This window comes from Homo sapiens, chromosome 2 (genome assembly GCF_000001405.40).
Source record: "Homo sapiens chromosome 2, GRCh38.p14 Primary Assembly".
NCBI lineage: Eukaryota > Metazoa > Chordata > Mammalia > Primates > Hominidae > Homo > Homo sapiens.
The window spans coordinates 49,988,983-50,010,868 of record NC_000002.12 but is presented as its reverse complement, the minus strand read 5'-3'; the positions used below and the strand labels follow the sequence as shown (position 1 = coordinate 50,010,868).

General features: G+C 36.7%; 1 protein-coding gene across 19 annotated transcripts in view, besides 1 other annotated feature; it reads left to right on the top strand.

The window, feature by feature from the left end:
• NRXN1 (neurexin 1) overlaps positions 1–21,886 on the top strand; it is a 1,113,630-nt gene that overhangs the window by 1,021,264 nt on the left and 70,480 nt on the right. The window lies entirely within an intron of this gene.
• Positions 5,700–6,433: an enhancer, noted in NCBI's record as "OCT4-NANOG hESC enhancer chr2:50231574-50232307 (GRCh37/hg19 assembly coordinates)". NCBI's record gives its function as "activates a minimal SCP1, AML or CMV promoter by ChIP-STARR-seq in naive H9 embryonic stem cells {active_cell/tissue: H9 hESC(naive)}" and the evidence as "EXISTENCE:reporter gene assay evidence [ECO:0000049][PMID:30033119]".

Genomic DNA, 21,886 nt, shown 5'->3' with positions numbered 1-21,886 from the left:
TTAGCATTGATAACATGGAAATGATTTTGAAACCACATGTTAGAGAAATGCTTCAGGGTAGCTTTCTGTAGTGACTTTATGTTGTGCTTCTCAGGAAATATATATTGTTTGTGCTATTGAGAATTTCTTTTGTTATGGCCTGATCCCTGGAGATGTCATTCTCTTGAGGAGCTGGGCTGTGTAACCAAAAACAAGTTGCAGCAGGACCAGAGAGAGGGGATTTTAGAACACCTCATTCTCTGGCCTGCTACAGTGTCTGAGTCTCTGCACTCCTGAGAGAGAATGCATGCAGATGGTGTCTGTGAGGGTCTTACATTATCAGCTCATTGGTCAGAAGAAGGGGCTAGCAGGGCATTTTCTTAGAGTTATCGTTGCAAAAGGCTAGCTCTACCAGAATCTGGTTGCAGATTAATGTATTTAGGTCTGCTTATCGTTTTCATCAGATCTGACTTGGATATTTTAAAAAGATAAGACAATAACATCAGGCTCCAAGGAAGCCTGTTGAATACAGCAGGAGTAAAGGAGAACATTCAAAAGAAATCTTTGGTTTATGGTAGCCAGTATTTCCATGATGGGACAGAAATTATCTCGGCCATCCCAGCTAATCTCAGTAAGTACAGAGCATCTAAATGTAGAGATGAATGCTTGACTTCTTATTGAGTCTGTTTCATGAAATAATATTTGGTGTTCTCCTTTTATAAATTTGACTTTTTTTTTTTAACTTGAGTTCGTTTTGTTTTGCTTTTTGGACAAAATGGATTTGGTAAATTAAAGCCTGGTTTGTTTTTTCAAGACAGAAGAAAACAAATTGTGTGATGTAGTTGTATCGTCTGCTATGTCTCTAGAGTGATTGATTGTTGTAAAGAGAGTGCAAAAATATATTTAATCCTATTACAAATTAGAATAATGGCCCACAAACCTAGATTATGCCTCAGAGCTCCTACTATCTTAGAAAGAACAGTGATTTCAAGAATAAAAATTTCAGCCATAATTCTAGATTGATTACAGTAGTTATGCAAATGTAATTATAATTTTCTGTGCAGAAAAACATTTAAATAGAAAGCACTGCAATGATCTTATTCAGAAGCTACTCTGGTGAATACTTTTACTGTAAGGGAGAACTTGGTGTATTTTAATAATTGTCAGGCGACTATTATGATTGTATATTACTGTACTGTGTAATTTTCTTGAATTGGATATGTCTCTCTTTTTGTACGATTTTAATTACCAAAAGTAATGACAAACCTTAGTAAATATGCTAATTGTACACAATAGCAATTTTCTCCATGCAGGCATAAAAATCTTGAAATAGTTTTTGCATTTCTAAAGGAAGAAGACTGTGCAGGGAATTCATATGAAAGCCACTGAGGACAGCTTGTATTTGCTCTGAAATTCATTAAAATCAAGGTGGGGTGTCCCTTTCCAGCAAGTAAATTTCAAATATGTTATTTTTTAAGTTACTTGAGCCTCTATGTTACCATGGCTTTAGCCCTCATATAAGTGACTGAGTGAAGGAATTGGAAAATACCATCTTATTTGAATCTTGTGCATTTAGTGAGAACGTTCTATGCTTAGTGCATTTAGTGAGGACTTTCTATGCTTAGTGACTGCAGAGATTGTGACAATAGCTACCTAAGTTCCATTCATGACAAGGGATCATCAAGAACTATAGCAGGTCCCATAGCCATGGTAAAGTCTAGTCCAAATATATCGATACTATCATAAATACTATTTACTTCTATACAAAGATTGTAAAAATGCTCCAAGGAGGCTTTCAGCAATTTCTTAGTTGTTAATTAATAATTTTGGAAAAACAAATAGTTGGTAGTTATAAAGTTATTGATTGAAACCATCCTGAGCTTTTTGACTCTCAGGATTTGTTACCTTGAAGAGATATTTTATGTCATTGTTTTATGAAGAAATTTATCAACTCTTAAAAACTTTGTAATTAACATTGATAACACCCTCTCACAACCAAACATACACCCCCTAGTGACATTATGGCTACTATAATGTAGAGTAAGCTTGTTGCTTTCCACTTAAAACGTGTTGAGTAATCTTATATACTTTGTAGAATTAGCAGATCAGAAAGAAAACTCCAATCCTGAAGCAGAATGTTCATTTTCTTCTCCTTCCTATGCAGGGTTTTAAAAACTCGATCTGCACTTGTATTATTTCTTGCAAGGCAATTGAGATTCCACAGAAAATTTTGTCAATTAATTTTCATTACTATGTGCATATCTTACATAGTGTTCAGAGTCATATTCTGGACTTTTCTAGGGAGGAAGGAATCAAAAAGAACCATAAGATGCCATCCTCGGAGCTCACAGTGAGCCGAGATCATGCCACTCTCCAGCCTGGGTGACAGAGCAAGACTCCATCTCAAAAAAAAAAAAAAAATGGCATCCTTCTCCAAAGGAGTTTTCAGTCCATTGGATTCCTGCTTAGTTCCTGACTGCCAAGCTTTTTGTATTTCCCCAAACTTAGCAAACAAGGCCCTTTCCACATCTAAACAGTAAAGGAAGCTAACTACCTCCAAGAGGATATAGAAAAGAACCAAAAGTTAGATCCAAACCCAGTTCTCTAGTGTTCTGTTCATTAGAAACTGAATTCATCATGGGTCCAATCACTCTTGCTTAGGAGATGTCATCATACTCCCAAGTCACTTGGAAAACCATGTATCAATGCTATTTAAAACATTGAACCTCCTATTTTGGGAATGTCTAGATACTTGGGGAGACGAAATTAATAAGGCAAGGATCTTGATGTATAAATAATCTTGTCTCTCTTGTTGATGGTTATACACATTTAAAGAGAATAAGTAAATTTTGTCATCATGTTGTTAATCTCTTGGATTCAGCATCCAAATTTCATAACAAAGCCAGGACTGGTTACTTAGAATGGTGAACTTTCACATTAGGTAGACAGCATTGGGAGTTAGAATAACACTTACCATTAAAAAGTCAGGAAACAACAGATGCTGGAGAGGATGTGGAGAAATAGGAACACTTTTACACTGTTGGTGGGAGTGTAAATTAGTTCAACCACTGTGGAAGACAGTGTGGCGATTCCTCAAGGATCTAGAACCAGAAATACCATTTGACCCAGCAATCCCATTACTGGGCATTTACCCAAAGGATTATAAATCATTCTACTATAAAAGACACATGCACATGTATGTTTATTGTAGCACTATTCACAATAGCAAAGACTTGGAACCCAGCCAAATGTCCATCAATGATAGACTGGATAAAGAAAATGTGGCACATATACACTAGGGAATACTATGCAGCCATAAAAAAGGATGAGTTCATGTTCTTTGCAGGGACATGGATGAAGCTGGAAACCATCATTCTCAGCAAACTAACACAGGAACCGAAAACCAAATACTGTGTGTTCTCACTCATAAGTGGGATTTGAACAATGAGAAGATATGGACACAGGGAGGGGAACATCACATACCAGGGCCTGTCGAGGGGTGGTGACCCCTCAAACGTCAAAATGTGACCACCACATTTTGTCAGAGATAGGGTCTTGCTCTGTCACTCAGGCTGGAGTGCAGTGGTGGGATCAAAGCTCACTGCGACTTCAAATGTGTGGGCTCAAATGATCCTCCTGCCTCAACCTCCTTAGGAGATGGTACTACAGGCATGCACTACTATGTCTGGCTAATTATTATTTTATTTTCTGTAGAGACAAGGTCTCGCTTTGTTATCCAGGCTGGTCTGAAACTCCTGGCCTCAAGTGATTCTCCCACCTTGGCCTCCCAAGGTATCAGGATTGCAGGTGTGAGCCACTGTACCTGGCCTGTTCCCTTGATAGCACAGAAACTTACACTTGTAAGGGACTTAAAAGGTCATGCAATCTCACCATCTGCCTAGTGCATGCATTTCCTTCAGTCATCTTCATAGATGAGCATCTAGCCTCTCTTCAAATATTTTTCATCTTCGAGATAGCCTGTTTCATTGCTAAATCGTTCTGATGATCCAGAAGTTGTGCTTTGTGTTTGCACTGTTTAAGGCCCAACCCCAGGAAGAGAAGTAAACAAAACATGATTTATCCCTGCAGAGAGGGGGATTTGAATCACAAGCACAGTTTTGTATGCAATAGTAGTAAAGTGGAGTAATACATTTTTAGCAATACAATGAATATACTCTAGGAGCAAAAAAATCTAAAATTACATTCTTGACATACATCATTGTGGAAGAGGCATTTCATTTGTTTCTTTAAAGGTGGGTATATCAACAGGCAATGTTGAGGAAAAGAGTAACCTAAGAGATCAAAGGAGAGAATTCATACATCAGGTCAGGGAATGGGAGAGACTCCACAGAATGCCTCAGGGAATGACTGGCATGCAGAATGAGTATAATGGGAATGTATAACAAAAGTTTGCAAAGGCAAATGGTGGGCAGATGATAGAAAACCTGCTAAGGAGTTTGGACTTGGTCTGCAGGCATTAGAGAGCAATTGATGTTTTTTAAGCCAGGGAATGGAATTATTAGAGCTGTGCTTTGGGAAAATGACTTCACCAGCTGACTACAAAATGGCCTAAGAAGGGAGAGACTAGAAGCTGAGCAATAGCTAAGGAAGCAAGTGCGGTAGTTCAAGAAGGAGGTAATGAAAATTAGAACTAGGGTAATGGAAGTGGGAATATTGTGTAGGCAAGAGGAACATTGCCGAAACAAGAGGAATTAATTGGCCATTGATTATGAGCTTTGAGGATGGAGAGAAGAGATACCAAAGAGAAAGGGAACAAGCTGAGGAAGTTCCATGTCTACAAATACTTACTGAGGATTGATTTATGTTATATAAGAACAATGGTAGTCACTGATGAGGTAGACAACCAAGGTGTGTCAACATGCATTCTCTGCATGAGTGTTTTTAATAGCACGGACACCGGTGGCAAGTTATACTTTCAGAAACCTCTCTATAGGGCAAAGTTGATTCCAATAAAATTAATAGATCTAACTGTGGCAAAAATGCTAACATTAAAAGGGCAGTAAGTTATCGTCAGATGGAGAATTAGCAGAAATGCGTCTGAGGCAGAGGCTTCAGCATGAGCAAAGATTGTGAAGATGCACAGTGTGTTTGAGAACTGTAGAATTTGGTGCAGAAGGTAATTAGAATGCAGGGAAGTGAATAATTTTGAGCAGATGTTTAGAGAATATTAAAAACTCTATAAAAGAGGTTAGACTAATTCTCTAGGTAATGGGAAGCTCTGGAAGAGTGTGTTTTTGTTTTTGGTTGTGCTTTTGTTTTGTTTTTAGTAGTAATGAGAAGTTATTTGCTCTAGGTTCTGGAAGATAATGCTGGTAAAAAGTAGATGATACATTCCACAGTATGAAGCCTAAAGGCTTTGGACAACTGTGAGTAAGGAGACTCTCATGGTTGTCCCGGTTGGTAATGCTATTATTGGCCTGTAGGAAAGCAGTTGACTGGTAAAAAGAGAAAATGATTTAAAGCCATTTTAGAATTGGAGCAAGTTGTCTTCCTCTCAAGTAATAAGAATCAATTTTTAACATTTGCAGAAAAGTCTATATCGCTTCTTTAAAAATAATCTGCTTTCTATAGTATACCATATCTTTGTCGTGCATAGTATTTTGTTGTATAACATTTTGGTCCCTTCCTACCAGTTTCCTACTCTCTTCCTAGTGTGTAGTTATAAGAATTATTTTTGCCTGGCACTTGATAAGAACATGATCTATTGGTTGGTAATTTCTTACTTTCTTTGCAGCAGAAATAATAAATACAGTGCAAATATTCAATAATGAGCTGAAAAAGAAAGACAGTGGTTTCATGAATATTTGTTATTATTTTGGTTACTGTGGATTATCACCTGGCTGCAGGGCAACAGGCTGTCCCACTGTTTTCTAAACTGTTGGGCCCTCATGATGCCACAAGTTAAACAATCATCTTCTCAAACTGTGGATCTGTGGAATTCAGAAAATGTTGCCAGAGTTTTAGCAATGAGATGAGCAATAGCTTTTGGCCTCAGTTTGTCTTTCCTGAAAAAGTCTAAGTTATTTTAACTAGATGCGTGTAGCAAGGAATGAATGTGAATAACCTACCACTGTGTTTGGGAGAAAGAAGACAATAGAAGCTCTGCACGTAACATTCTCTGCCTAGACCACAGCTCACAGTGTCAACTTAACTACATTATTACCACAACTAGTGTGTATTAATTCGGCCTACCTTCAGGTTGTTGATTTGGGAGGCAAAGGAAGGTAGAAAGTGTATATAAAAGATTGCCTTGAATAATTCTACAAATTTTCAGAAGGAAAAATCTAAATGAACAATGGAAGTTTTAATATTAAAACCCCAGTTTTGCAACCATGAGGCTGAATATGCCAAATAGCCTAAATTAGCAGTAGGGAGAAGACTCAAGAAAACTACAGCAACCACTAAACAGAAAATAAAATGCTTCCAAAAACAATTTTTAAAAATCACATACAAATTGACACCAGAGAATACTAAAGATTCTTCCACTCTCTCTATATATACCTTAACTTTTGCTTACATGTTCTTGTGAGTTTTGAGATATTGATAAATGTATTGCAGAATGACCAAATCATATGGACTACCACAAATATTTTATTATAAATGAGTCTTTCCTTACTCACAAGAGTGTCTCTACAATATGTATCTGACCCTGTCACTATCCTGATTGATAGATTTAAGCTTCCTGGGTTCCCTAAAATAACTACAAGACTTTCACTATGATCTAACTCCTGCCTATCTCTATCTCCATCTTCTTTTATCTCTGCCACCCCACCAATGTAAACTTTTTACTCAAGTAATACCTCACCTCCCTTTCACCAACTACACCATGCCTTTTCATACCCTGTGGCTTTTTTACCTCAGTGCAAAACTTATTTCAATGTGTTTGAATTATTATGTTGTATCTCTCCAACTAGATTTCATTGTCAGGAAATAGTTCTAAATGAGAGTGGGCATCTGTTAAGTCAAGGGGAAGGAAAATGTTCCATCTTTGATATTTCTATCTGGAATGACATGAAAGTATGTACTCTTATTTTATGTCTATCAGTGCCTTATGGAATTGCTCATCATTTCTTCCCCATAGCTCCTCATGAAATGTTGGAAATATTATCTATTTCACATGTGATCCTGAAAGAACACTGTATTATGGTATGGAAATTTTAAAACAAGGATGTGAAAAAGTTAAATAAATAATTTTAAAATTTATAACCGACTTTAGTTAAACATGTGAAGCAAAAAGGCACATCGGTTTTCAAGAATGGTTCATGTGCCCATTTATACTGAACATTCTGAAAATTGTTTTGAGTAACTGCTTTGCAGCTTCAAGGAGGTTGCCAACAGATTTTATCAACTTTCAAATTAGGAGGAATGAATATAGCAGGAATTGAGAATAAATATTACATTGACAAGATTAGACACTCATTTCCTCACATTGGCAAAATATAATAGAGACATCACAAATTTAAGAAATAAAACAGCTTTTGAAGTAGCAAAAATTTGTGTTTGGCATTACAAATAGAGATACTTAACAAGAATAACCAAATGTACAAATTTCCTTTGTAATTATGTCCCACAGCTGAAAGTAACTAGCTCTATAATCTTAACAAGCTATTTCTCTTCCCCAAGCCTCTGATCTCTCATCTCTGTACCTGTTGTAGGTACAGAAGGGACTAATGACAGAAGTGGTATATATGGACCCTATTCCATATTGATGCATAATTAATCAGGGTATTCTCATCCACCAAGCCTTAGAACATAACTATCTCGAAAACCACTGCTTTTATATAGGAGTTGTCTAAGAGAGAAAAACTTATTTCTCATTTCTCAAATCCTATAAATCTTTTGGCCCAGACTCTAAATCATAAGCAGGTTCATACTTTGGAAAGGGCTTGAGGCTTTTTAAGAGTTGCCTAGATTCCTCTGAGGTTTCAAGACTGTTTTGTAACATTACTGTCATGTATTTGTTCTGCCCTTGTAACTTTTCTCAAGAACTTTATTTTCATTTATTGTTCATCTATTTTCCCCCATCCCAACACTTTCAGGTCAACAGAAGAGAGAGTTGAGCTGGCTCATCTTTATCATCTTTAGTCATACAACTAACTACAAGCCAAGCTTAAACTTGTACACAGATCCCTTGACTCCTAGTCTATTTCTCGGGAATGGCGGACAGAGCAGGGCAGAAAAATGAGGGAAGGATGACAGAAGCTCATCAGAAAGCCAGTAATACATAAGATTAGTTTTGTCAGCAAAACCTAGTAAACTTTGACGTTAAAAGACAAATATTTTGATCTCTCATTCCCACTCTCAAAAAGGTTTCTAGTTCATATTGTTTTGCTAAAATTCCTTAACTGGAATCTGAAGCTGGAAAAACAACTATCACTGACATCCTAATATTCTTGCCATTCATGAAGGCCAGAGGCTAAAATAGGGCCTATAGGAGAAATCTTGACTAGAGTAAGATCTTTCTGTCCTAAATGTACTTTACAATGATAGACTCAGCAATGACTGGCCAGGTCAAGGCTGCTCAGCCTGAAACTAAGACAGAGCACTGAGAAAATAAGCTTTTTCGTTTCCTCCCTTTCTTTTCTCTGAATTCTATATGGAAGTATGTGTATTAGTTTTCTATGCTGTGTAATGAATGACAACAAACTTACAAGCTCTAGACAACACATTTGTTATCTCACAGTTCATGTGGTCTGACTGAAGTCGGGGCACAGGTTAACTAAGTCCTCTGCTTGGCTCTCACTAGACTACAATCACAGAATTGGCAGGGCTGCATTCCTTTCTAGAGCTCAGGGCCCTCTTGCAAGCTTGCATGGTTGTTGATAAAACTTAATTCTTTCTGGTTGGAGAACTGAGGCCCTCAACTCTTAGAGGCTGCCTGCCATAGGACCCTCTCCATTAGCAGCTTGCATCAAGAAGCTTGCTTCTTGAAGGCCAGCAGGAGAGTCTGGCACTCCTTTCTCCTAAGATGGAGTCTTTATAACATAGCCTAACATTTGCCATTTTATACTGGCCAGAAGCCTGTCACAGGTCATGTCCACGCTTAAAGGGAGAAAATTCCAATAAGATGTAGATATAGGAGGCAGAAATTACTTATCAGTCTAAGGTCTGTTTACAACAGTATGTGTGTGCTCTAAAACATATATATGTAAATACGTAGAAGTTGGTATGTGCCAATCTCTTATTTATGTTTATTAACCCATTTCGTTTTTACCTTATTTAAAAATTAAATGTTATTATTCTCATTTTACATATGAGAAAACTGAGGCAGAGAGCATTTAAGTTACTCATCCAAAGCACGCAGCTGGGCAGCAGCAGAATAGGTATGTGAATGCGATAATTTGGCCCCAGAGTCTATCTTCTTAACACATTCTGTGGCTCACTGTGATAATAGCTTACTCTTTTATATACCCCCTAAATGCTTTACATACTTTAATATTTAAGCCCCTGGTGATTAAAGAATTTTAGTATGCATTCACTTCATCTCCTTAATTTTCAGATAAACTGGAAGGGATCATAAAATTTGTACTTCAGTATGATTGTCTTCAATGTAAGCAGTTATAAATACTATTTATTGAGCAGTCATTTTGCTAAGCAATCCATAAATGTTATTTTATTTATCCTATAACCTCTCTGTGAGATAAAGATTACCATCCACAGTTTGTGATAAGGACACTGAAATCTGAAATTAGAGATGTTAAATAGCTCAGCCATGCTTTCTTGGGCTGTGACTTCAAACCCAGGTCCCTTTGATGCTAAAGCCACTGACTACAATGGTCTGAGATTTGTAAGGCACTGCCAAGCTAGTACCTATTCTCTCTTTCCTTTTGAGCAAAATATGCTGACTTGTTGGGTTTGTTTTGTTGTGGGAAGAAAATAACAATTTTATGACTTTTATCTTATCTGAAATTAAGGCCGTGTTGTCTGACTTTCACAATTGAACAACCCCTGGATGACCAAGAAAGCAAATACTGTAAGAACTTCATTTTATAGCTGTCTGCACCGCATCTCAGCCAGAACTCATCTGTACCTCCAGCCTGCCTTGCTCACCAGTTTTATGCTCAGATTTCTCAGCTGATCCTAGCCATTTTCACAGCGAACAATCTACAGAGTCAGGAAAGGCAGATCCAGATACCCTTTGTACACTTTTCACCACATTGATATCCTGTTAACAAGAGAAATGACTCTAGACTCTGGGACTATTATCTAGAGTCATATTCTTATTAATCTCTATTGTTTAGGAATATGTTGATGCAGAGCAACTTTATATAAATCTGTGTAAATTATGTTGACTATCTTATTTTATGCCTCACTTTTTCCTTCTAAGCACCTGTTATTGAGTGCATTCTGAATTTCATGTAGGTGGCCACTAATTTAATTAGAGGTGTGAGATAAGTAGCAAATTTGTGTGCTGGATGAAATTAGTAAAATGGATATCACATAATATTAACTCAAAAGCTATGATGATGTCTGCTTCCATTGACAATTTTATTTACATATTTGAATTATCTCTAGTTATATAATTTCCATTTCTTTTTATTACACAAATGTTTAATGGAAATTGGGGCTTTGTTTTATTCTTTTCCAGTAGATGATAAATTCTGTCTGCCATTGGAAAGAAGCACAATGTAGATTCAAATGAGCTGCCAAATTGACTTTTGTGTTTGCCCTGCTTTAGCCTTGACTGTTTCTATAGCTTGCACTTTTAGTGAGGATTTTCTGTGCATATTAGTTCATCATATCAGGATACAAGCAGTTTATCACTATGTAGCAACTTTACAGCCCAGGTGCAGGAAAGCTGTGGATTAGCAATTCTCAGTTAGGGGAAGTTCAGTGCAAACATCACCCAATGTGAGAGTATTAGGAGAGGTTCTATTTAATATACCTTTTGTTTTATGATTAAAAACCGAAAAATCTTCTTCCACAGCTTCATTCCACTATGTAGGCTTTGATTTCTATTAAAACGTTTAAGCCCTTCTTGGGGTGAAGGTAGGAAATATACTTTATGCTGCAGTTAGTCATTACATTTTAGTGTAAGTTAATTCCAGGCCCTTTCTTGAAATAAGGTTTTAGAAATTAAAGAATATGAAGATGATATATGTTTAGATTGTATGTGCTTTTATATCTATTTGTGTGTTCTATGAGGTGTGGTGGGAGGAGGCAAATTGAAGAAATAAGTATACGACAAAGAGGCAGGAACTCTGAAAACATGTTTTACTTTCTTAACAGTTAATTTGAAATTTATACTGATTTATTATACTATTGTCTCATTTCCTGATTACTTATTTGAAAAATTGATGCAACAAAGAATATGAAATTATACGGAAAGAACCTTATAGCTTTCAATTGCTACAGTTATTCAACAACCATTTTTGAGCAAGGTATAGTTTCAAAAAATACAGATATGTAAGACTTGGTTCCTCTTCATGTTCAGTACTTGACTTATATCTAAATAATAAGTTATAAATATATAAATTCCATAAGAGAGGAAGAAATTAAATGCTATATTAGTATAGAGAAGGGAAATATGTTTATGTGGTGGTGTCAGGGATATAAAGATAAGGAAAGTCATTTTGGAGATAGCATATTTAAAATTCATATTCTAAATTTTTAGATCTTATTTATAGGAGAGTAGCCAATCACTCCCTCAAAACAAATTTTCTTTTAATCTAGACACAATTCTAAAAAGTCATGATAGCTAATATCTTTCTATTCAAGGTGTGTTGCAAAGACCAGCAGCAAAGGCATCACCTGGTTGCTGATAGAAACACAAATTTTTAGTTCCCATTCCAGAGCTACCAAAGCAGAATCTGAATTTTAAGAAGATCCCCAGATTAATTGTAGTACACTAAAGTACGAGAAGCATCGGCCTAAAATGCTAGTACAAGGTAATTTGCCTGAGCTTTGGCACACTGGGAATGTCTTGCTTTGTTTGGCTAGGAGTTGATGGAAGCAGGAAGACTGACTACAACGACAGTAGTAAAAAAGGCAACCCACATACAGCATGCCAGTGAGAAAAGACAGAGAAAAATTTATGAACAGCTGGCTCAAAATGAAAAAACAAAAAGCACCTACACTACTTCGTGTAGGCAAGAAGCTCCATACACCACAGCAATCCCTAAGGGTCTCTGTGTATCGCAGCGACGTAGAATAATTATCATTCATAATAATGAAAGCCATGACATTATTTTTTTTAAAAAGGTTAAATTATGTCCATCATCCTTTGATTAAGAAGGCAGGGAAGTGAATACTGCATTTCAGATTGGTTTTTCAGCAAAAATTGGTTCATTTTACATTTTAATTGTTACATAAAGAAGTATGCTCCAATTCACATGTGTTTTGGGTAGCAAAAAAATACTGGGTATTTCCAAAAAAAGTTTTGAAAAAAGTTTGACGTTTCTAAAAAAATATAAAAAGCAACCAAGTACATATTATGGGAAATTATATCCTCCCTATCTTGAAGGGAATTCATTACACACATTTTACAATTAAAAATATGTACATGTGTATATACATGGGCATTAAGATTTGCAAGTGGTGAAGGTTATCCTTCTCATTGTACTACTTCAGGAGTCACGGGTCATATAGTAGTCTGTTAGGAGGCATCATTTATAGTTCTCTGAAATTGTGTTGAGACAAGGTTCAGGGATGAACACACCATCATCTTTTCAGAGTTTAGAGCAGGTAAAAGTTTTAATTCTTTCCTCCCTTAACTCATATTTTTGACCTCTATGGTTTTCACTTTGGGATAAAAGCATGCAGACTACAGTATCTTATTGTCCCTGAAATTTCTGCTTGATGGCTAAACATCATGGCATTTCTGTTGGGAAAGGTCATCCCACTCTGCTGACCTGGCTCTCTTTTAGCAAAAGCAATGCAGCAGCATTTTATAAAAATCCCTGAAGTGGTGGTAGTCTGGGCCAACCCAAGACTTGAAACAGGTAAAGGTTATTTTTATTGCCCTCACTTTAAGCCTTCCTTGCCTCCTTTCCCTATGTGAAGTCTCCCTTGCACCCCGGCGGCCCAGCTTCCTCAGATTCCCAGGCAGAGAGTGACCTCAGACTCATCTTAGAGAGATGAACTCTAGGAACAGGCTGTAAGATAGGCCATGTATGCTTTTGAGACTTAAAACTTATATACCCTTGGGGAAAATCATAATTTAGGAAAATTCTAAATTTCTAGTATTTTGAGGAAGTACACAACTTTACATGGCAAGGAGACAATAAGCTTCTCAAAGCCAAAGGCTATGTTAGGATAAAAATGAATAAAGGACCTTACCTTGCACTAGTAGATACTCAGAAAATACTTGAGAAGTTGAGGGATTAATGTCCTGCTAGAGATATTTCAAAAACCAAGAAACTTGTAGATGACATACTTTTCTTTAAAAGGTCTTTTTCTCCATTCGTGAATTCATCTCCAGTAGATTGCCTTATGCCTTGCCTATAGGTAATCACAGGTAGTTAAAATGATAATATTTTAGCTAATAATACTTAATATAAAATCACTTCTTCCAGCAACCTATGTCAAAATACCCTGATTAAATAATTCCCTTCTCATGAATACATACTATTTAAATTTTCCCAATGGTCAATAGTCACACTTCAATGATTCTCTTTTGTGAGCTATAATAAATTTTTGTAATTGCTTCCAAGAGATATGCGCTCTTATCTTCAAGCAGGAGGCATGAATTTCCATCTCCAACTGTCCACCCACCGTGTTGACCCATTGGTATTTCAAACGTACTGTGTTCGAAAAAGATTTCAGCATCTTGCTTTTAAATATTTTTCTCTTTGTGGGTTTTCTGTATTCTGTTAGTAGTACTTTCACCTTCTTTATAACTCAAACGAAGCAGACAGGCAAATATATTTTATAAAAATAAAAAATACAACATAAATGTTGTAATGAAATAATAAGTAAAAGTTGAGGTACACCAAGAGAGAATGGATAAATAATTATTTGGACTAAGATGTAGTATATTCAAAACATTCCACTCTATATCTGTGTCCTGTTGCTGTAACAATTTACCAAAAATATAGTGGCTTAAAACAGCACAAATAAATTTGCTTACAGTTCTAGGGGTTGGAAGTCTAGCATGGATGGGCAGGGCAGCTGCATTCCTTCTGGAGGCTTTAGGGGAGAATATGTTACCTTGTCTTTTTCATTTTCTAGAAGCCACCTGCATTCCTCAGTTTATGGCCCCTTCCTTGCATCACTCTGATCCCTGCTTCCATTAGTATAGCTCTCTCTCTGACTCTGATTCTTTTGCCTTATTCTTTCACTTGAAAGGACCCTTGTCATTACACTGGGCCCACCAGACAATCCAGGATAATATCTCCAACTCAAGAGTCTTAATTATACCTACAAAGACTTTGCCATGTCAGTTAACTTATTTAAAAATTCCAGAGATTAGAAAGTAGATGGATTTAGCCTACCATACTATGTAAATCCCCAATCTTCCTTTCCATTCCTGTCCTCCTCTTGATTCAGGTAAACTGAATGATTTGTGGGTACACCATGCTATCTTTTTAATGTCCTTGCTTATCCCATCCCTTTCAAAGAAAATGTTCTTCTACCTTCTCTACATGTCCTGAGATTTTTCATCCTTCCAGGCAAAGACAGTTATTTCTACTTCTGCAATTCCTCCCTGTAAGAATTAATTTTTTACCTCTGTGAACTTTCATAATACCTTATTTATACTTCTCATGACTCTCACACACAAATAATTTTAATACAAGGTAGGAGAAAGTATGTGTTCTCCCCTTCTACACCATAAGGTCCTCAAAGGCATTTTCTGTGTCTCATTTATCATTGTACATCATACTCACCCCATCCCACTCCTAGCTTCCTGTGCAGATCACTGCTCACTGTGGATGCTCAGTAAATATTCATTGAAAGGATTAATGAATTTCTGGAAATCACCCTGTCATTTTGACAGAGTCATGAGACCCAAGGGGCATACACTTAGGCTCTCTAAATCCTTTTTTCTTTTTTTTTTTTTTTTTTTTTTACTATCCAGCATGGTGCTTTCATACTTGAAGTACAGGCTATTTTCTTTCTTTTCCTATCTTTTTTTTTTTTTTTTTTTTTTGAGACGGAGTCTCGCTCTGTCGCTCAGGCTGGATTGCAGTGATGGGATCTCCGCTCACTGCAAGCTCCGCCTCCCAGGTTTACGCCATTCTCCTGCCTCAGCCTCCCGAGTAGCTGGGACTACAGACACCCGCCACCACGCCCGGCTCATTTTTTGTATTTTTAGTAGAGGCGGGGTTTCACCATGTTAGCCAGGATGGTGTCGATCTCCTGACCTCGTGATCCGCCCGCCTCGGCCTCCCAAAGTGCTGGGATTAGAGGCGTGAGCCACCGCGCCCGGCCTCTTTTCCTATCTTTAAGGTCTACTGATGGTTGAAAATGATATGAACAGTAGTAGGCTTTACCACTTTTTAAAATATGACTACATTTTCAAGATTTTCTCTCAGAAGGCAAACTTAGGGCTCAGAAAAGAGGAAACAAAATTTCAACACCCCTATAATTACACATGACAATGTTATTAAAATGTAGAAATTCAGTTTTTAAAAAGTAAAAGAAGGTTTTTTATAAAACATTCATTTCAATTAGTTATTCCTGTATATCTAATTGGAAGAAATTACAAGTTACCTTTCTCTCATTTTTCTCCTCTACTGAGAATTTAAAATTGAATTTCATGTCTTGACTCTACAGATTTGACAGATGTTGCCACCCTCTTCAATCACTGTGAGAAATGTGTATCCTTAGCTATATGAAATCGAAAGGTGCAAAGAAGGTTGGAGAGAATGATTATTTTCTCTCCCTTCCTCAGGTGTTTTCTTGTTATCAAGGAGTGTTTCAGTCATTCCTTTGAGTTGGGTGAAATTATGAGAACTACACCTAAATTGTCAATATTTCATTCTCTCGCAGCATTGGATGTGAGGCACTGGTGTGACAGAATCCTGTTTCTCACACTTCAGTGATTTTTCCATGATGTTATGAGCAAAGTGGAAGAAAACTACCAACCTGTTTATTAACTTCTAGAAATTCACTCTCACCTTTTGCCTTACAAAAAGCAGAATACTTTCTTGTTTGACTGTATCATCAAATAATTATTTTAAATGAGAATGAATGAGCATGACTGGCCAAAGGAGTCTATTTAATGGCTGTAAGTTTGCCTCTGGGGTTTAGGATGACCATGTTCTGTCTTTGTTTCCTTGAAGTAGTTCCCTCAGCTGTGATGTTTTTACATGGCTTGAGGTCCTTATAGGTAGGTTGTGACCATGTGATCTCTGAGATACTTGTATTTTTCCCAACAACTCTTACCGGTGTAGTTTAAATATACTCTAACCTTCAGGAATCCATGGGTGTAGAATGCAATAAATTATTTTGGATATTCTGGCATTGTATCTGAGTGTCGTATTATCTGTGAATTAAAACTACTCCTTTAATGCCTTACAAGGACTTTCCCAAACTAAACCTCTAAAACAGACTGGATTCGTCTATTAGTCATATTGCTTCAAACATACCAATAGAGAAAGAAAGAGGCCTCTTGCTTATATTCTACACCTATTTCTGCCTGCACATATTAATATTTTGACCTGTTGGTTTCCACAATAAGAAAGCACACCAGAGAAGCCCAGGTTTGTCTGCAGAGTCATCAACACATTGAAGAGCAAGTTTGGGTTCCAATTATGAGTCTTCATAGGCATTAAGGAGGAGCACCCCCGTACTATGCTTCATTACTGCTTCCTGAGAGACTCTGCTTGTGAAGGGAAACAGAGGATCCCCGGTGTGATTCTGAAGCAGTGGTTTATTGACTATACTTAGTTAGGCAGTTTCTGTATTGTTCCTGAGGACAGTTCTCTTGGGGTACAGGGCAGGAAATTTGAGAATGCCATCTGATGGGCATGTGATTTTGAAAGGTTGACAGAAGGCAGAAAACATCACCACAGCCAGTTCTTCTAAGAGTTCTTCAAGAGATACAAATGTACCATTCAAATAAGTTAATGAGGTAAAGGTGGACACCCTATTGAGGGTATTTTGGGACAGAATTCAGAACCTTTGGATTTTTTATCTGCTATGATGAGCAATTGCCTTACGTTTTTCTATTTTTTCCATGATTTCTAAATGTCTTTTAATTTCTCAAAAGACAATTTTTAGGGCAGTTTTAGGCTCACAGCAAAATTAAGAGGAAGGTAGAGGTTTTCTTTATGCTCCCTGCCCCCATACATGGATAGCTTCCCTCATTATCAACACCCTCCACTAGAGTAGTGCATTTGTTACAATTGGTGAGCCTGCATTGACACATCATAATCAACCAAAGGCCAGAGGTTACATGAATGTCGTACATTCTGTGGATTTGGACAAATATATCATGGCATGGATCTATTATTATAGTGTCATACAGAGTATTTTCACAGACCTAAAAATCCTCTATGTTCTGCCTATTCATCCTATCCATAAAACCCCTAGCAACCAGTGAACTTTGTACTGTCTCTGTAGTTTTGCTTCTTCTAGAATGTCATATGGTTGGAATTATACCATATTATTGCCTTTTTATATTGGCTTCTTTCACTTAGTAATATGCATTTAAGATTCCTTCATGTCTTTTTATGGTTCAGTGGCTCATTTTTTAAAATAATGATTAATATTCCATTATCTGGGTGTACCACCATTTATTTACCCGTTTACTTACCGAAGAATACCTTGGTTGGTTCCAAGTTTTGGCAATTATAAATAAAGCCGCTATAAGCATCTCTTTGCAGGTTTTTGTGTGAACGTAAGTTTTCAACTTTTGGGAGTAAATACCAAGCAGAGTGATTGCTGGATTGTATGGTAAAAGTATGTTTAGCTTTGTTAGAAACTGCCAAACTCTCTTCCAAAATGGCTGTGAAATTGTGCGTTTCTACTAGCAATGAATGAGCATTCCTGTTGCTTGACATCCTTGCCAGCATTTGGTGTTGTCAGTGTTCCAGATTTTGGTCATTCTAATAGGCGTGTAATGATATCTTACTGTTGTTTTAATTTTCATTTCCCTGATGGTGTATAATGTGGAGCATCTTTCATGTGCTCAATTGCCATCTATATCTCTTTTTGGTCAGGTGTCTGTTAAGATTTTGGCCCTTTTTTTGTTTTATCATTGTTGAGTTTTACGAGTTCTTTGTATATTTTGGATCACAGTCTTTTATCAGATAGGTCTTTTGCAAGTATTTTTTGCTAGTCTGTGGCTTGTCTTCTCATTTTCTTAACAGAGTTTTTCAGATAACAGAAGTATTGTTGTTGTTTTGTTTGTTTTTGTTTTTTGAGACAGAGTCTCACTCTGTTGCTAGGCAGGAAGGGCTCACTGCAACCTCCGCCTCCCAAGTTCAAGCAATTTCCCTGCCTCAGCCTCCCGACTAGCTGGGACTATAGGCATACACCACCATGCCTGGCTAATTGGTTTTTTGTTTGTTTGTTTGTTTTTGGGGTGTTTTTTTTTTGTTTGTATTTTAGTAGAGACGGAGTTTCACCATGTTGTCCAGGATGGTCTCAATTTCCTGACCTCATGATTCACCCACCTTGGCCTCCCAAAGTGCTGGGATTACAGGCATGAGCCACTGCACCCGGTCCAAAAGTTTTTTCTTTATTTTAATGATGTAGAGCTCATTAATTATTTCTCTCATGGATCATCCTTTGGTTTTGTATCTAAAAAGTCAGTGCCATACCCAAGGTCATCTAGGTTTTTCTCCTGTGTCGTCTTCTAAGAGTTTTATGGTTTTTCATTTTACACTTAAGGGTTTGATCCATTTTGAGTTAATGTTTGTCAATTGTCTGTCTCTAAATTATTTTTCATATGGATGTCTAGTTGTTCTAGCACCGTTTGTTGAAAAGACTATCTTTGCTTTATTATGTAACCTTTGCTCTATATCAAAGATCAGTTGATTATATTTATCTAGGTCTGTTTCTGGGTTCTTCTCTTCCATTAATCTATTTGCCTATTCCTTCATTAATACCACACTGTCTTGAATGTTATAACTTTATAGTAAGGCTTGACGTTAGATGATGTCAGTCCTTCAACTTTGTTCTTCTCCTTCAATATTTTGTTAGCCATTCCAGTTCTTTTGCCTCTCCATATAAACTTTAGAATCAGTTTGTCAACATCCACAAAATAACTTGCCAGGATTTTGATTGGGATTGCATTGAAGCTATAAATCAAGTTGGGAAGAACTGACATTTTGACAATAATAATGAACATGGAATATCCATTTATTTAGTTCTATCCATTATTTACTTACTAGATTTCATTCCTCAAGGTTTTGTAGTTCTCCTTATATAGAAGAAAACTACTTATTTTTTAGATATTTTGTTTGATTTACATCTATGTGTTTCATTTTGGGGGGGTGCTAATGTAAATGTTATTATGTTTTTTTTATTTTGAATATTACTTGTTCATTGTTGGTATATATGAAAGAGATTAACTTTTATATATTAAACTTGTATCTTGTGACCTTGCAATAATCATTTACTAGTTCCAGGAGGTTTTTATGATTCTTTCAGATGTTCTGCATACACAATTGTGTCACCTGCAAGCAAAGATAGTTTTATTTCTTCCTTCTGAATCTGTATTCCTACTATTTTTTTCTTGTCTTATTGCAGTAGCTAGTAATTCCCATATGATGTTGAAACAGTTGGTGAAAGGGAGATATCCTTGTCTTGTTTCTAGTCTTAGTGGAGAAGTGTCAAGTTTCTCACTATTACATATGATGTTAGTAATAAGTTTTTAAGAATGTTCTTTATCAATTTGAGGAAGTTTTCTATTTATTTTATTTTTTTCCAAATTTATTTATTTTAAGCATGTTTAGTAAATTATTTACTCTATATGTAGGAAACATTTTCTTAGGAGTTATTTGTGTCAATTCTACCTTGATTGTGTTGTTCTGTGTAGTCCTGGGGTATTTTGTACCTTGCTACCACCACTGAGTTAACTGCAAATCAACAGAAGAAATTAGGAACCAAACCCCAACTGGAGATTAATAAATGCAGATACTTTTGAAGCTTGCTAATAGTGCCAACATTAGCTACAAAAGGTATTCTTTCATTCTATATCTAGTGCCCTCTGTGAATCAGGTATTAGGAATAACATGATGAATAAGATTATCACTGACATTAAGAACCAAGTAACTATTAAGATCATCCTTCACTCATTTCTTCCTGCTTTTCACTTCCCAAATTACTTACTGATATGTTATCAGTAAGTCTTATGAACACTGACTTCAGAACAGTCAGCTCTGCCTTCTCCACCACCAATACCTGTGGCAAGCCACTATTATCTCTTGCCTAAACTGCAAAACCTCCTGACTCACATCTCTGCTTCTCCATGGAACATACAGGATGATCTTTTAAATATATAAATAAAATTATGTCATTATTCTGCTCTTACAACCTTCAATGATTTCCTATCATATATAGAATAAAGTCACAATACCCTACCTACCCTACACAACTTCCATCTGGCCACCTGGCTCTCCCTCCTTCCTTTTGTCTTTCCTCGCTGTGCTCTTAGATCATTCTTAGATCACACTGTCTTTCTTTTGATGCTCAGACTCTTTCTTATCTTAGGGCCTTGGCAGTAGTTATTCACTGGGACAGAAATGTTTTTCCCCCTGTAGTCATATGTTGGCTCCTTCTGATTGTTCAAATCTAACAGCCTTTCCCTGAACACCCAATATAAAGGGCCATCCCTTTTACTATGTTCTATCACTCTTTGATAGTTTTTTTTTTTTTAAATTTATTGCTTGGCTGGTTGCATGATTGAAAGGGAAAAGTAGCCCCTGTTGTCTGGGAACTGATCTAATCCGTAAGTGAGGCCTCAGCATTGTTAGAAGCTGGCCTGGAGCCCACAGGTAGATGATATTGTTCACCCATTAGAGAGAAATAACTTCATAGAGTACCAACATGAAACACAGTCACACTAAGACCATAATAAAGTGAGTGAAAATAATGCTATGTCATTTTTTCATTAAAAAACAGATAAAAATTGGTGTCACTATATAACCCACAAAATGTCAAACCATCTTATTGGTTAAGTTGAATACTACTTTCCTACCAATCATAACTTTATTCTCACTCTAGTCTGCTCTTGCTATAGATAAGATTTATTGAGCTATCCAATCCTAGAATTGCTTCTACTTTCTGGCAGCATCCAGTACAGAACAAAGTCCTGTTTTCTTAAACCCTCCCCAGAATCACCGAATAAGCCTGAATTCTTTTTAATATGCCTTTACTAATGCCCTTACTTAGTATCTTACTAAGATACTTCATGGCTCCGTGTGGTGTGTGTTCTTCCTTGCTACAACAATTAATAAACTCACTTGTTCAAGTAAAGGTATGCTCCTCATGGTCTTTCCCTGGAGTGCATTGACCGGTTTGTTGGTTGGCTGTTGGTTTTCTGACTTTCTTCAAATAGAAGATGAATTCACTTAGAGCCTTGTTATCACATTTGCTACTACTGCATCTGCAGAGTCCTAAAGAGACCTGCCACTTAGTAGACCCAATACATGTTTGTTGAATGACTTCTTTGATATTTTTGACATGGAAATTTAATAAGCTATAAAACAGTGATTTTCAAGTAAAGATCCTTAGCTTAAAGACCCCAAGGTTTCACTTGGTGGATTACAACCTGAACCAGAAATGTAAGTCCTTTATTTGCTTTTTATAGGCAAGTGGCACACAAGCCATTGGACTTGGATTTTCATCATGCAATTAAGGGCTACCTATCAGCTTATTAAGAATTAAACAATCTTAGCATTCATAAGCTTAAAATAGCATACAATTACAGTTACTCAGAACTCAAATGGAATAATCTAGAGTCTGGCTGCCACATTGTGCTGGGCAATGCTTCAGA